This window comes from Homo sapiens, chromosome 2 (assembly GCF_000001405.40).
Source record: "Homo sapiens chromosome 2, GRCh38.p14 Primary Assembly".
NCBI lineage: Eukaryota > Metazoa > Chordata > Mammalia > Primates > Hominidae > Homo > Homo sapiens.
In genome coordinates this window covers 18,994,674-19,009,306 of record NC_000002.12, presented here as the reverse complement: position 1 = coordinate 19,009,306, position 14,633 = coordinate 18,994,674, and the positions used below count along the sequence as shown (strand labels likewise).

Sequence of the window (14,633 nt, the reverse complement as noted above, 5' to 3'; positions counted from 1 at the left end):
AGCACTACACAGACATTTTTCATCTAATCCTTACAACTACCATTAGGAATAATTTCCATTCTACATATAAGGACACTAAAGCCCAAAGCAGTTATACCACTTGCCCCAGATCACACAGTCAGAAAATGGCAGAGCTGGGTGTGTTAGTCGGTTCTGAGTTGCTATAAATTAATATCCAAGACTGAGTAATTTATTAAGAAAAGAAGTTTATTTTGGCTCACAGTTCTGCAGGCTGTACAGAAAGCATGGTGCCACCATCTGCTTCTAGTGAGGGCCTCAGAGAGCTTACAATCATGGTGGAAGGCAAAGAGGAAGCTAGAGTACCACGTGGTGAGTGGGAGCAAGAGAGGACGAGGAGGAGGTGCCAAGGTCCTTTAAACAAGCAGCTCTCCTGTGAACTGATTACTATGAGGATGGCACCAAGCCATTTATAAGGGGTCCACCCCCATGACCCAAACATCTCCTACTAGGCCCCACCTCCAATACTGGGGATCACATTTCAATATGAGATTTGGAGGTAACACAACACTCAAGCCATATTACTTGGGTTAAAACCCAACCCTCTGGCTCCAGAGTCCCTGCCCTCAGCCACAGTGCTCTGCCACTTCTCCAAGGATAGGTCTCCATTCTGCTCCCTATACATGAGCCAGAGCTGTCACTCAAGGGAGCCATTTCTATTGCTTCACAGAGATTTCAGGATGCCTTTGCTCATGTTGAACTAAAATCTGCCTGCCCATAACTCTTCAGTTGGGTCTTTTTCTACCTTCAGATCCACCCAGAATATTTTGTTCTTGTTGTTTCTTATTTTCTTTTAACAACCTTTAGAGATTTGAAGATATAAATTGACTCTCCAATTCATACCTGAATATTATTTTTGTGGTTAGTGAAAACAATCTTATCCTGATAGAAAAACTGTTGCATTGAGTAATGAAACAGCTCTCTACCTTTCCAGCTAGTGGTTGGCAAAATAGGTCCACAATGGAGTGTAAGGTGCTTGAGGAGTAAGGCGATAAGCTTTGCTGATAAAAATTTATGTAGTTATCCACAGTGTTGTTTATATTAACCACAAATTATAAATAACCTGTGTCCAAAATAATGGAGTTTATAAATAGATTATAATTTATCCATGTGATAAAATACACATTAAAATTTATGTTTTCAAATTACACTTAAGGATGGGAAGTTCTCATAATAATGTTAATTTTGAAAAGTAGGATTTAAAACAATATTTAGAGTGTTGTCCCAGTTTTGAAAAAAACGTGAAAAGAAAAAAATACTAGTGATACATACAAAAATACATAGAATTCCTAGAAAAAAGAATGAAAAAATGCACCATTCTAGTAATAATGAATTATCTTTTATCTATTTTAATAAATACTCTGTGTATTTTCTAAATTTTCTAAAATGGCATTCATTACTTTCGAAGTCAATACATTGTTGGTGGTGGTGGTGTTGGTGGCGGTAATGTGTGTGTGTGTATGTGTGTTTAAAGATCACAGTGTGTCTAAGAATTACCCTCAGCTGAAGCTGGACTTGAAGATTTGGGAGAGGGGCAAATGACATTGGAATAGGGTGCTTCTACCATCCATTATGATCCCAATGTTTGGCCCTCAAATTGCTTTGAACTCCCATGTGCATTTAAGAACTCAGCAACCAGGATATAAGAGTGGCTGGGCCCTCTTCCCTCCTCCACACTCCGTCTCTTGTGCTGTGGTAGTGGATAATGTCAGTTAAATTTAAAGCTTAGATAAACAACAAATCTTGCATAAGACATACTTACATTTAAAAATTACTGATTATTTATCTAAAAATCAGATGTAGCTGGGAGTCCTCCATTTTAGCTGCTATATCTAGCAACCCTACCTGTAGATCCCTTCAGATGCCTTTTCAACATTTTTGTAAATATAAAAAATTCCCTCCTCTCCTTTACTGGTCCACCCTGGGAAGATTTCTTTATAAAATCACTCACCCAGGAGTCTTGCTTTTGGTGTTTCTGTGGAACTTGAACTCAGGAGAATCTTCTTCCCCTTTCCTGCCCCCATATCTCTTTTTCTATCTATTCAGCTCTCTCTCTTTCTTAGCATTTCTTGCTGGCATTTCTCCCTCTAAGCATTTCTCAAAAATTGCCCTCATTTACTTTTCTATGGATTATCTAAAAAATAAACATCCAATCGGGCGCGGTGGCTTACGCCTGTAATCCCGGCACTTTGGGAGGTCAGGGTGGGTGGATCACGAGGTCAGGAAATCGAGACCATCCTGGCTAACAAGGTGAAACCCCGTCTCTACTAAAAATATAAAAAATTAGCTGGGCGTGGTGGTGGGTGCCTGTAGTCCCAGCTACTGGGGAGGCTGAGGCAGGAGAATGGCATGAACCTGGGAGGCGGAGCTTGCAGTGAGCGGAGATCGCCGCCACTGCACTCCAGACTGGGTGACAGAGCGAGACTGTTTCAAAAAAACAAAAAAAACAAAAAAACAAAAAAACATCCACAGGATCTTCTCCAATGTGTAAACATATTACCAGTACAAATAGTAATCAAAACACAAAACTGACAAAGGATACAAATATAGAGTTGATAAAAATCTGTTGATAAGAGAAGAATCAAGTAGGCTATGAAATACAACCCAGGAAAACTGGCAATAATGGAAATAGTAACCACAAAAAATCCATGATTTTAGAAATGATACATGATGTTTGTTATTGACAAAAAATAGATACACCCTAATTGTATTACTTAGAGATAATTAACTGATCAGTTGAAAATAATTTAAAATGCAGATAAAAATGGAATATACAGATTAATAATTTAATCAGCTTGGATTTCACTCAAGAAAATGTTTCTTCAATGGAAATTCAACAGTGTTGACAAAATTCGGAAGGAAATAATTTTATTCGAAGACTTCAGGGTCAAAGTCAAGAGATAAAAATGTTATGCTCAAAGTGTTCTGTGTTGATGGACAATCTTGGCCAAGTTGTCAGCATAAACATAATGAAGCACGTGGAATCTGATTCTGCTGCCCAGGGAGGGATACTGAGGGAGAGGTGGGTGTGAGAGGGGGTTAGGCCATGCCATGGAGCCATAATGAAAGCTGATTTGTATTGGCCAGCAATGGAGTAATACATACTTTTGATCAATAGGAAAATTGTGGAACACTTACTAAGGTGTTGGACCCTATGCTAGACATGAGATCACCATCATCTCTGTGATCACATGAACTGTTTTCCCCACTTTATATATGAATATTGAGACTTAATGAGGTTAAATGGTGTTAAATTCACACAGCCAGAGACGTCTGACTGCAAAGCTGAGCTCTTAACACCTGTGCTTTGTGTCAGGCAATGTGTCTTCCCCATTCGTAGAGTGCCTCACTATGGGTGGACTTCAGTGTCAGGTGAAGGAGATTGAAATTAAATCTGTGGATGCTGGAGAGTGTTATGTGGAGTTCTGGAACCATATCATTCCTTTCTTAAGTTATTCTGGAAATAAGTGCAGGGTCAGGGGAAGACTAGAAGCAACGAGACCAACTTAAAATATTTTAATATTAAGAAATGACAAAGGCTTGACCCAACTGAGTGACAGTAGGGATGAAGTAGACAGGAAGTATAGAAATATACTGTGTGGGTGAAATTACCAGGGTTTGGTGGTTAACTAATGTAGGTCATGGAGGAATGGGGTCAAAAATGAATCCAGACTTAAATTTGAGTGGTTGGGAAGTTTTGCTGCAGAGAAAGGAGATTCACTGTAAGAATTTCAGACCCATACTGGTTGTCCCACCTAATCTTCCATTTGTATGTAAAATATATGAACTTCATAATTACAAGTTTAGGTGTGCAAACTATTGCCATCGTTATATTCTACAAGTTATCAATATAATTTTGAATTTTTTGTCCACAATTTGACTTCTTCAGTAAAACATAAATCTTTACATTATAGAAGAAACTTGATCAAATTCAGTTTTTTATTGTTGTTGTTTTGGTTAGGGGGAGCACTTCAGGTTGAAAATTTATTCCTCAGCAAGACTATTTTTCCTTCATTATCATTCTCCCTAGTGTTGAGACGAAATGGTAGCTCTGGTGTGAGATGCAGAGCAGTGCACGGGGGAGGGTGGGAATAAGTGGGAAAGTCAGAGACTTATGCAACTACAACCTTGTTTTGGTGGTGGGAGAGGTCGACTCATCTCCATCTTGGTCTAGGTCCTGTGGTACCATATTGGAATATTGTTGCTTTATCATTGTTAGATGCATGCACCTTCCTAATATTGGCCCACAGAGAGGGGGCCTGAGCTCCTATCAGTGGCAGCAAGGCCAGCCCACGTTTTGCTATGTGACCAGCCATCTAATCTACGTCACTGAAGCACACAGCCCTTGGCTCCCACTCCCTCTTGGAACACAGAAAATTAGATCCTAGCTCCTCTCTCCATGCCACCCAGGACCCGCAGAGCCTGGGGAGGCTGCTCGCTGACTTGTGTGCCTCACAGAGCCGCTGTGCCTGCTCAGGCATCATATGCTATCCAAAGCTTCTCTCCAACCCTTGCTTTCTTTTCAGCTATGCACCATTTTTTTTTCTGGGAGGAAGGTGAAGATGGCCATGAAATGCTCAGACTGATATGGGGAGTTTCTGTGTCTCTCTTTTCCCGGGAGCTTACTCAGGGTGGAAGGCAGGTCATAGGCCAATATCTAATCCAGTGACTTTCTCTAATCCTTCTTTCCTCCCCAGTTTGTGGGTGTCCAGATTGTCTGGGGTTAAGTGGAGAGGACAGGAGATCTGAATTCTTACAAACACATTTGCTTTGTACCTCTCTCTGTCTTTTAACATCAATGTTTTAAAATTTAACAGATAAGAATTGTCTCCTCTGCTCTCTGATCCCACCATGAGAAATAGTCCCTGTGATGAATGGTCTTAACTGTAAAAGTTGATGAGGGGTAAATAGAAGGAGAAAAAAAATGTTGCTTAATGTTTTACATTATGACATTTAACCACACAGTAGGTCAGCAGGTATAACAGGAACATCATAACAAGAATCTAGCTAGAACTCGACCAAAACTAAACCAAATCCAATGCAAACTTTTTTTTTTCTTGGCACACCTTCTGAATGTTGCTGTAGGCCAGAGGACAGAATAATGTAGAAAAACATCTTCTTCTTCCAATCTTAAGCTGATCATAATTTAGTTGGAAATAAATCTGAGATCGTAAATGGCAACAAAAAAAACAAAAACAGCTCAAGCAAACAGGCAATACTCACTAATGATGACTTTGGTGACATAGAGAAAAGGAATTGTCAGGAAAAAGAAGGGAAGCCATGGAAAGTGAATGTCCCTTTGCAGCCATTATTTTTCTAGGGTTGTAGTAGGGATACAAAGGCAGGGCAACAGTCCCCTTTCAGACATGACATGCTGGGGAGTAGGAATTAGTGAAGAGGAGATAACACCCTACTTAAAAGTTTAGTTGTCTTCCAGTTTCTTTGGGTCACTCAAGTCTCCACTGAATTGCTTGCTGTAAATAGAAAGATTTTTCTAGTTACACTTAAATGATAAAAATCTGGTTCAGCTGGCTGGATGACTATAAAAAATGTCATAGCAAACCACTTTAGGGCAAGCTTGAGAAGGTGAAATAGTGCAGATGCATGAAATGAAAATATCCATACATTCATTTATTTAATTTAGCAAAAAACTTCAGAGCACCTACTGTATTCCAGGCCTGTGTTAAGCAGTAGAATACAGAAACCAATAAAAAGGAGTATGCACTATCTAGATGCTCACTGTGAGGTAAAGGGACACACAGCAACCAGCTATGTTATATAAGATTATTCTATGGCCAAGGTATGTCATGGAAAGAGACCAGCTCTACCTAGCTGGGGATAGGGAAGGCATCACAAAGATAGCAGGAAATAATCAAATGTATCCTTTGAAGGGAAGAACATCTGGGAGTTAAAAAAGACTTTGATAAGGACCAGAGGCCAGAGAAAGCACAGCATGTTTAAGGAAATACCTAGACTTTACTGTGAGAGGACCTCAGAGAACTTTGCAGGAAGCAAATGGAAATGAGCCTGGAAAGTAGGCAGGGGTTGGATCATTAGGGACTCCTTAGCCCATCATATAAAATCAGGACATTATCCTTTGATGGAGGAGCACCATTGGCTGGTTTTTAGTGGGGAAAGCGTGACCAAATGTATCACATTTTAGAGAGAACACTTTAGTGCTATTGTGTTGAGTTAATTACAAGGAATCCACAGTGGAAACTGGAAGGCTGTTGTATACTATAGGAGAACTAAAATGGAGTCCAACCTAAACCAATAGGAGTGGGTGTGGAAGAAAGGGCAGGTTCAAGAGGTGGTGTGGTGTAGATCTAAGGAGTTAGGAGGTGCGCTAAGGCAAGGGGGGAATAAAGACGACGTCTAGGTTTTTGGCTCAAATGGGGAATAATAGAGTATACAGGATAGAGAGAAAGAGCATACAGGAGAGAGGAGGTTTCTAGGGGATTAGAGGATGGAAGTTCCATTTTAGACATGCCAAATTTGAGATGCCTGTGGGACATCAAAATGGAGATGTCTTACAGCTGTTTGATGTACAGGTCTGCAGCTCAGTAAAGAGGTCTGGGCAGATTTATATTTGGGAGTCATGTCTCTGAGACTGTGAATCAGTCCTGTCCAGAATGCTGATATTTATGAACTAAGAGAGAAGAAGGGTAGCCAGTGAAAGAGACTAAAAAGAATCAGAGGTATAGAATATGGAGCCTGATTACCAGGACACAAGGAAGGAGAGAGCATTAGGAAGAAGGGAATGGTTAGCATCGTCAAATTCTATAGCAAAGTCATACGGGACCATTGTAGTAAAGTCGGAGGGTGAAATGACTACTAGTGAGGGAGAGGCAGATTTTGCTCCAGCACGTGGGAGAGCTTTCTAGCCATCAATACTTCTAGTCCCCTGCATATAGCAAGCAATTGGTAAATATTTGCTTGAAATAAAGATTATTTAATGATGAAATTATTTGTCTGATGAGGACCACACAGGAGTTCATTAAGCAAAGGTGAGCTGCCCAAGTGACGGGGATGTTGTAAAAGGGATCCCTGCAATGGTTGGAGAGCTGTATAAACGCAGCCCTTTGACCAGTTTGGATGGCAAATGTTTGGTGTGAGTGTAGTGGTTTTGTTTTTGTTTTTCATTTTGAAATAAAATTACTTTGGCCAAATTAAGAGTGAAACCCAGGCCACTCCTTACTCATCATGCCATTTGATGTAATTCTTGTAACCCTTGTGTCATAATTTCCTCACCCATAAACTTGGGACATATCATCTCTCCTATCTACTCCCTCAGAGAATAAATGTGCTTGTTAAGTGTTCGGGAACATGAAGAAAAAAAAGAAGGGTAATGATACAGGACAGGTCTTGGAGGTCTAAGCTTGGCTTTGCTACTATTTTCCTAGGTTGACTTAGACAAACTAGTTTTTACATGTATAAAATGAAGGGGCTAGGCAAGATGTCGAAGATCTCTTCTGCCCCCAGTTTCTTTCAGGCTGTGATGTTCATTTCTTTGGCATAATCACCATTACCATCATTCCCAGGTTCACAGCACATGCAGGTGGAAAGGACTTTTTAAATGCACACTGGCTCAGGTGACCCCCAGTGCAGTCGAGTGATGGGAGTAGGGAGGAATCTCATTATTGTGTCCACTTTCCAGATGACATTGCGGCTCAATAAGGTCAACCATGACAGGCCTGGGGTCACAGAACTGACAAAGGCTGGAATGGAACCTTCAGCTCTGTTCTTTTCTCTCCAAAAACCATGCTCTGTCTACCTCCCTACAGCATTGTGTACTGATGTTTGGCATTATTATTATTCAACAGAAACCCTGGATTGATAAGGAAGGCGTCAATCCTGCCTTCAGAAGGCCCAACTTAGAGTCCAGTCTTAAGCCCTTGTTTCGTATTCAACATTGAGAAGGTCATTTTTCCATTGTGGAGATGCTCAATTTTTGCATATACAAAGAAGAGAGCCATTGCATCCTGCAGCTTCTGAAGGTCATGAAGAGGGTGAAATGAGATGAAGGAAGCAGACTGGGAATCACTGTGTACATTGCAGGGCCTGTGTTTCTGCAAGGTTTGCAGGCACATGGTACAGCTGATTGCACAGCGATTACAGTGCTTTTCAATGCTGTGGGGCTCAGCATGCCTGCGCTGGGAGGTGGTTCTCTCCCAATGGCTTGGGTAAAATACCCCTCAGAGGGGCTGCATTCTCCCTCCCTTTCAATCCAAATATTTAGCTTCAAGCCTGCTTCAGCTGTGCTTTGGCAAGAAGTGTTTTGGAGGAGGAGGCTGCTCTGAGGGGCCCTCCTTTGAAGCCCTGGATGTCCTACAGTGATATGGGGCCTTGGCCAAGCAAGTTGAGCTTTGAGGCCAGCAGCAGGTTTGAGACACTCCGGGGGCTGCTGACTTCAGCTGAGGGGGCTCAAAGCCCAGATCCCCACACAGCTGTGGACTCTCAAGGATCTCTCTCTCTCTCTCTTTCTCGGGCAGAGCTTCATGTGCATCTCAGCCAGCCCTGCAGCAGCCCTCAGCAGCCCTTCTGTGGGGCTGGGGTATCTGTTGCCCAGGAAATCACTGGGCTGAGGGTACAAGATGGGATCTTGGCTTTCTCAAAAGAAGAATGAATTATTATTATTGATTCCTCTGGCGGAACTCTTGGGGCTGGACTCACCATTACTCCCAGTGACCTACTTGGGAGATTTCTGTTTTTTGTTCCTGAAACCTTAGATTCTGAGAGCTGTTTCTACCAGGAGATACAGGACTCATTAACTTAAAGCTATGACCACTGCTGATCAATTTGGGCCCACTGTACCAGTAGACCAGCCGGCAAAGAAAATAGTTCATGCACTGGCAGTTGTAATATACCCTGATCATAAGGAGAAAGCATGGTTATTTCACAAAGAGGGTAGGGAAGGGTAGGAAGAATATTTACTTTTTCCTCAGGAGATGCTCTACTCCCTAAATAATTGAATTCCTATTGAATGTATTGAGAGAAGTTGGCACTTAGGTATTGAGAATGCTACCACCTATATTAGAATCAAGGGTAAGAAATAATTGGAGTGAAAGCAATGGAAGTTGAAGAGTAAGATCAATTGTACATATATGGAAGAGGAGTGTCTCCCCTTTAGGTCCAGGTGTGACTTGGCATTGTAGAAGGGCAGGAGGCAGAGGAAGGGGGATGTCCTTCTCTCCAATGGCTCTGCACTCCCTCATCTTTCCCAGAATAATTGGTTGTGAGGACAAAAATGATGTCACTATACCACACCATCTCCTTATTTGAGGCAATAAGGATTTGGGTGAACTTCAACTTACCATTATGATTGAGAGAAAGTGGAGAATCATTTGGGGAAACAAACTAAAAAAGCAGAAGTTTGTCGACTCAATGATTCATAGAATGGCCACTGCTTTATTTTCTATAGCTGGACATTTTCTCCTGTCTTTCTGTAAGATGCATGCCATGAATAGATTGATGTTCTTGGGGAAGAGTACCCATCTCAGAGGTGAAATCATTGATTAATGTTTTCCGGGGATATGTTTATCAGTGAATCTGCAATGGCTAGAGCAATTCCTGGCAACATGGGTACTCAGAAAATATTTGATGAGTAAATAGAAGGAAGAAAGGGAGAAAGGAAGGCAGGAAAGAAGAAAAGGTAGGGAAGTAAAGGTAGGGAAGGAGAGGTGAGAGGAGGGGAAGAGAGGGAAGCAAGGAGGCAGCAGAGTGGTAGGGAGAGAGAGAGAGAAGGGAGGGAGGGAGGGAAGGAAAGAACGAAGGAAGGGAGGGAGGGAAGGAAGGAAGGGAGGAAAGAAGGAAGGAAAGGAAGGAGGGAGAGAGGGAAGGAAGGAAGGAAAGAAGGAGGGAAGGAGGGAAGGAAGGAAGGAAAGGAAGGAGGGAGGGAAGGAAGGAAGGAAAGAAGGAAGGAACGAAAGGAAAGGAGGGAGGGAGGGAGACAGGGAGGGAGGAAGGAAGGAGGGGAGGAAGGAAGGAAAGGAGGGAGGGAGGAAGGAAGTAAAGAAGGAAGGAAGGAGTTTCTTACTTCTGGCTCATCAGATTTAGAGGTCACACTTGTGATACTATTCTGTGATAATGTATTTGGTATCCTGGAGGTGGGAAAAATTCATTTTTGTCTCATTAAATTTATAAAACCCATGGCTTTTGCCTAAGGGAAGAATTGTGTTTATAGAACGGTGAAGTGTTTCTAAGTAAATTGATCCTGTACGCAAAAGTGTGTAACAGTTTTGTTGACATCAGATTTTTACTATGGTAAGTTCAGAAAGTTGATGTTCCTTGACTGTCCCTCTTGGTCTGTTAGAGGCTTCTGTCACTCCCGTATCATAACTGAATCACTTTGTATTATTGCTCCTCCTCACATAAGACAGTTTACTTCTGCCTGTTCCTAAACAGCAAGAATTGAAAGAAAATGTGTAGACTTAGAAAAAGTATATACCCCCGAGGCACCTTTAAATGCATTTTTCCAAGGCATATCAAAATATCCTTGGAATTTGTTGTGAAAATTTGACCACATCCTAGTTAGCATGAGGTTAAAATTAACAGTAACATGTGTTTTAGGGATCTCAATTTGCAAAATATTAATAGAGTTCATGGGCAGTTAACTGCAATAAAGGGAGGAAATGAAGTTTATAGTGCAAGGCCCTGGGGATTTACAGCTTTCCCTACCCCTGAGCACTTTCATATCCCAGAACTCACATAAAGTGAGGAAGGCCATAAAAGGAACAAAGAAGGAAAGCTCAAGGTTGATGTCATAGGTCTCTTTCTCTTCCCTCCTGGGAGGACTTCCAGTGATTCCAGAGGTAGCCTCACTTAGCCTCAGTTTCCTCCTGCCCATTCAGAAATCCATGATTCACCCTGAGGTGCAAAAACAGGGACCTTCCGTGAGACTCATAGCATGCTGAAACATCAGAAAGGAGCCCTGATCAATTTCTTATCACTTCTGTGGAAATGTGATTCTTATTGCATTTTCATCTCAAGTTAAACTACTTAGGCATAAAAGAAATTTAAAAAAATGCATGGAAGACATTCCAGATTGAGAGTCAGTAGACATGGATTTATGCATTCTCTGCTTTTGACTCTCTTGTAACTTTAAGGAAATCACTACTTCCTTCTACATTTTTGCCTGCTCACCTAAACAGAAATAGTAGGGCTAGGGGATCTCTAGGGGCTCTTCCTGCTCTTTAGTCTGTAGTTTAATATGAATCTGACTTTTGTCCAGTGGGCTTTCTAAGGAAAACCTACTAAAGAATGATTATTGAATACAAGATTCAGATATTAGAGCCAGGAGAAGTCACTGCAAGCTAAAGTAATCACAATAGCAAGAAAGGTAGGCTTTATTTCAAAGGTGGGATGGAAATTGAATGATGTGAGAGGAAAGAGGTCATTCCAGGCAAAGAGAAGGCTTAGGGTAAAGGCTTGAGGTGTGAAGACACAAGGTCTAATTTGAAATTCAATGGAGAGCAAGGTAATTGGACCAAGTTGAAGAAGGAAACAAAAGAGGATGACCTCCACGGCCTTCCCAGGACTTCATCTGGGCCATTTCTGGGGCCACCTTCAGGGACACACTTCAGTGTAGTACATAGGAACATTTTTGGACTCAAAATGTCAAAATAGGTGGCATTTCTGATGAAGGCCCTACCGGTCTCGCTTGCCCAGCTAGTGCTCTTGTAGCTGAGACCTGACTTTCTCACTCCAGTTGGTAGCTGTCCTCATGTCAGTTCCTTTCACACTAGCTCCTCCACAGGCCTTTGCCATATTCACCTTCTGCTTCTAGAATGGGGGTCATTCTGCTTTCGAGAGAGCCTCCATGGAAAGAATCTGGGAGTGATGACTTTCCAGAGTGTTAACATACGAAATCTTCCACCCTCTTCATATTTTTTTTTTTTTTTTTTTTTGAGGTGGAGTCTTGCTCTGTCACCCAGGCTGGAGTGCAGTGGCGCAATCTCAGCTCACTGCAACCTCCGCCTCCAGGGTTCAAGCGATTCTCTTGCCTCAGCCTCCTGAGTAGCTGGGACAATAGGCACGTGCCACCACTCCCGGCTAATTTTTGTATTTTTAGTAGAGACAGGGTTTCACCATGTTGGTCAGGCTGGTCTTGAACCCCTGATCTCGTTATCTGCCCACTTGGGCTCCCAAAGTGTTGGGATTACAGGCGTGAGCCACTGTGCCTGGCCCCCTCTTCATATTCTTTTTTATTTTATTTTATTTTATTTTATTTTTATTTTTTTTTTGAGACAGAGTCTCGCTCTGTCGCCCAGGCCGGACTGCGGACTGCAGTGGCGCAATCTCGGCTCACTGCAAGCTCCGCTTCCCGGGTTCACACCATTCTCCTCTTCATATTCTTAAGGCTCAATCCTCTGAGCTTCCAGGAAGCCTAAGGGTACCCAGGACTCACACCATTTCTGCTCTTGGCAAAGTTATCAGGAGCTTTCCACCACTTCAATCTTTGGGAAGAGTGAAGTTCAGTGGAGCTCAGACTATCATGAACCCTTGTTAGTATCCATTGACTGGGTTTGATACCCAGGCACTCTCATTAGATTCTAATCACTTTTTGACACAGTGAGGTCTGAGGCTTAGTACTCTCCAGGTCACTCTGCTGACATCTCCACTCTCTCTGACCTTGTCACTAGAACTGGGATCTGGCCTTGTATTTTTCTTAGTCATGAACCCCTACTTTGTTAAGTGTCTCAGGCCCCCCAGGACCACAGTTCTCAGCTCATTTATCTGGGAGTATTAATATCCTGCCTTGTGCTTGCCTGGATTCTTTATCTGACTGGCAGGGGCTCTGGGATAGATCACCTTCTGAACTATGACCTAGGTTGCAACAGCCTCTCACACCTGTATCCTTAGGCTCATTTGTGTTGCATGCTTCAATTCCCCAAACATTCATCACACGTTCTTCTTACTTAAACTTGATTTCTCGTCCTTGATTTGTGAGCAGTTAGAGCAATAGCCCCCCACAGAAATATCAAAAGCTGTTTGTTGTTACAAAGACCTCATTCTACTCTCATTAAAGATGTTGGGAAAGAATCTCATGATGCTAGCTCATATTCTTGATGGGAATTATTTGATAACTACCTGATACAATTTTTTAGCCTCATAATCACTTGCTCTGAATCTCCAGAACACTGAGAAATTGAAGGAAATATGTAAGGGTTGTTTGTTCCTTTATTTGCTTATTTTAATTAAAGTCAGCATTTTCACAAAAGTTGTGGTCTTTTTAATTGTGCACACTTTGTGCCTTAGTTTATCTGTGTTCAGTTCCTGGCTAAAGATCATTTGTTTTCATAAGAATGTACATGTGTCTGAAGCATCAGAGCTACAGCCGCTGCTCCCACCCCATCCCTGCAGACTTCATCCTGCTCAGTCCAAGGCAAGGGAACTATCCACTGGCTCAGACCCATTATGAGAGAAATCTAGAATTGTCTTGCCTGCTAGTCCTGGGCCAAAAGGAAACTGAGGTAGCTCTTCAGTACACAAGAGTCTAATGGATGGCAGGTCTCTCAACCCCCACAAGCATGCCCACCACAGGCAGAAGATGCCCACTGCCATCCCTCACCAAGCCGACTGAACACTCACAATCTCATAGGACTGGTCAGTGCTGAGTTAATGGAACCCTTTTGGAGCCTATCAATGGGATTCCTCAATACATCCAACAAGGGCTTCTACACTTTTTCCTCATTCAAGACATACTGAGCTTTTATCCCTCAAATGAGCCCATGCAATTGGTGCCTGTATGGTCGACACACCTGACAGCAATAACTTAAGTCTACCCTGAGAATAACCCCATATAGCAGACGGACCTGACAACAATTATTTAAGAAATGAGGGTGCTCATGTGGAGGTTGCTGAGGAGAGGGTGCTAAGTGAGGATGTTATATAAACTGCATTTTTTTTTTTTTTTTGCCAGCAGTTGTGGTTCTCCTGTCCAGCCTGCCACCACTGGACCATCCCTGTATGTAAGTTCACCCAAATAAAACCATAGGCCTCTTTTGCTGGCTGTAGGTCTCTTCTCTAGCCTCTTGAACCCAGTGCCATCCCTACTGAAGTTATTAGGGGTCTGGCATGACAGTGTCACAGCATGCTTCAATGCCTGCAAAATAGACTGAGTCTTATGGTTTTGTCTCTGTTGAGTTTATTCTGATGATGGCAAGGTTCTTATCCTTTTCACTCATCCATAGTCGATGAGAAAGGCCATCCACAGGAGCTGACACCCCAAAGGGAGATCACCTATCACCCTAAATAACTCAGGTCTGGTCTCCCCAGCACAAGTGTCAATATGGGCAAAATTCCTTCTGACTCAAATCCCAAAGTCCTCCACATTTCTTGCTTATCCAGAAGATTCCCTTAAGCAGCCCAAAATCCTCTGAAGGGCTTGACATGTGCTGAGCTCCTGAAGGCTGTGGGTAAAGCCAACCATGGAGCTTCAGGGGGTGTTTGCATGCTGAGCAGGCTTAGCAGAGACACTGTACCAAGCAGTGTTTTTAGAGTGAAGAGGAATTTGAGTTTTTCTCATCTGGGACCAGGAAAGATTCTGATATGACCCAGAGGATTACAGTAAGAGAGACTTTTCAATAATGGGGTAAAGAGGAAATCAGACTGAG

General features: G+C 42.4%; 2 long non-coding RNA genes across 2 annotated transcripts in view; one reads left to right on the top strand and one right to left on the bottom strand.

Moving 5' to 3' along the window:
* Positions 1-14,633, bottom strand: part of LOC105373456 (uncharacterized) — a 529,181-nt gene that overhangs the window by 80,050 nt on the left and 434,498 nt on the right. The window lies entirely within an intron of this gene.
* Positions 1-14,633, top strand: part of LINC01376 (long intergenic non-protein coding RNA 1376) — a 40,521-nt gene that overhangs the window by 17,665 nt on the left and 8,223 nt on the right. Inside the window, exon 3 of the long non-coding RNA NR_135287.1 lies at positions 13,943-13,988. This is a non-coding gene — a long non-coding RNA (long intergenic non-protein coding RNA 1376). The remainder of the gene's footprint in view (positions 1-13,942; positions 13,989-14,633) is intronic.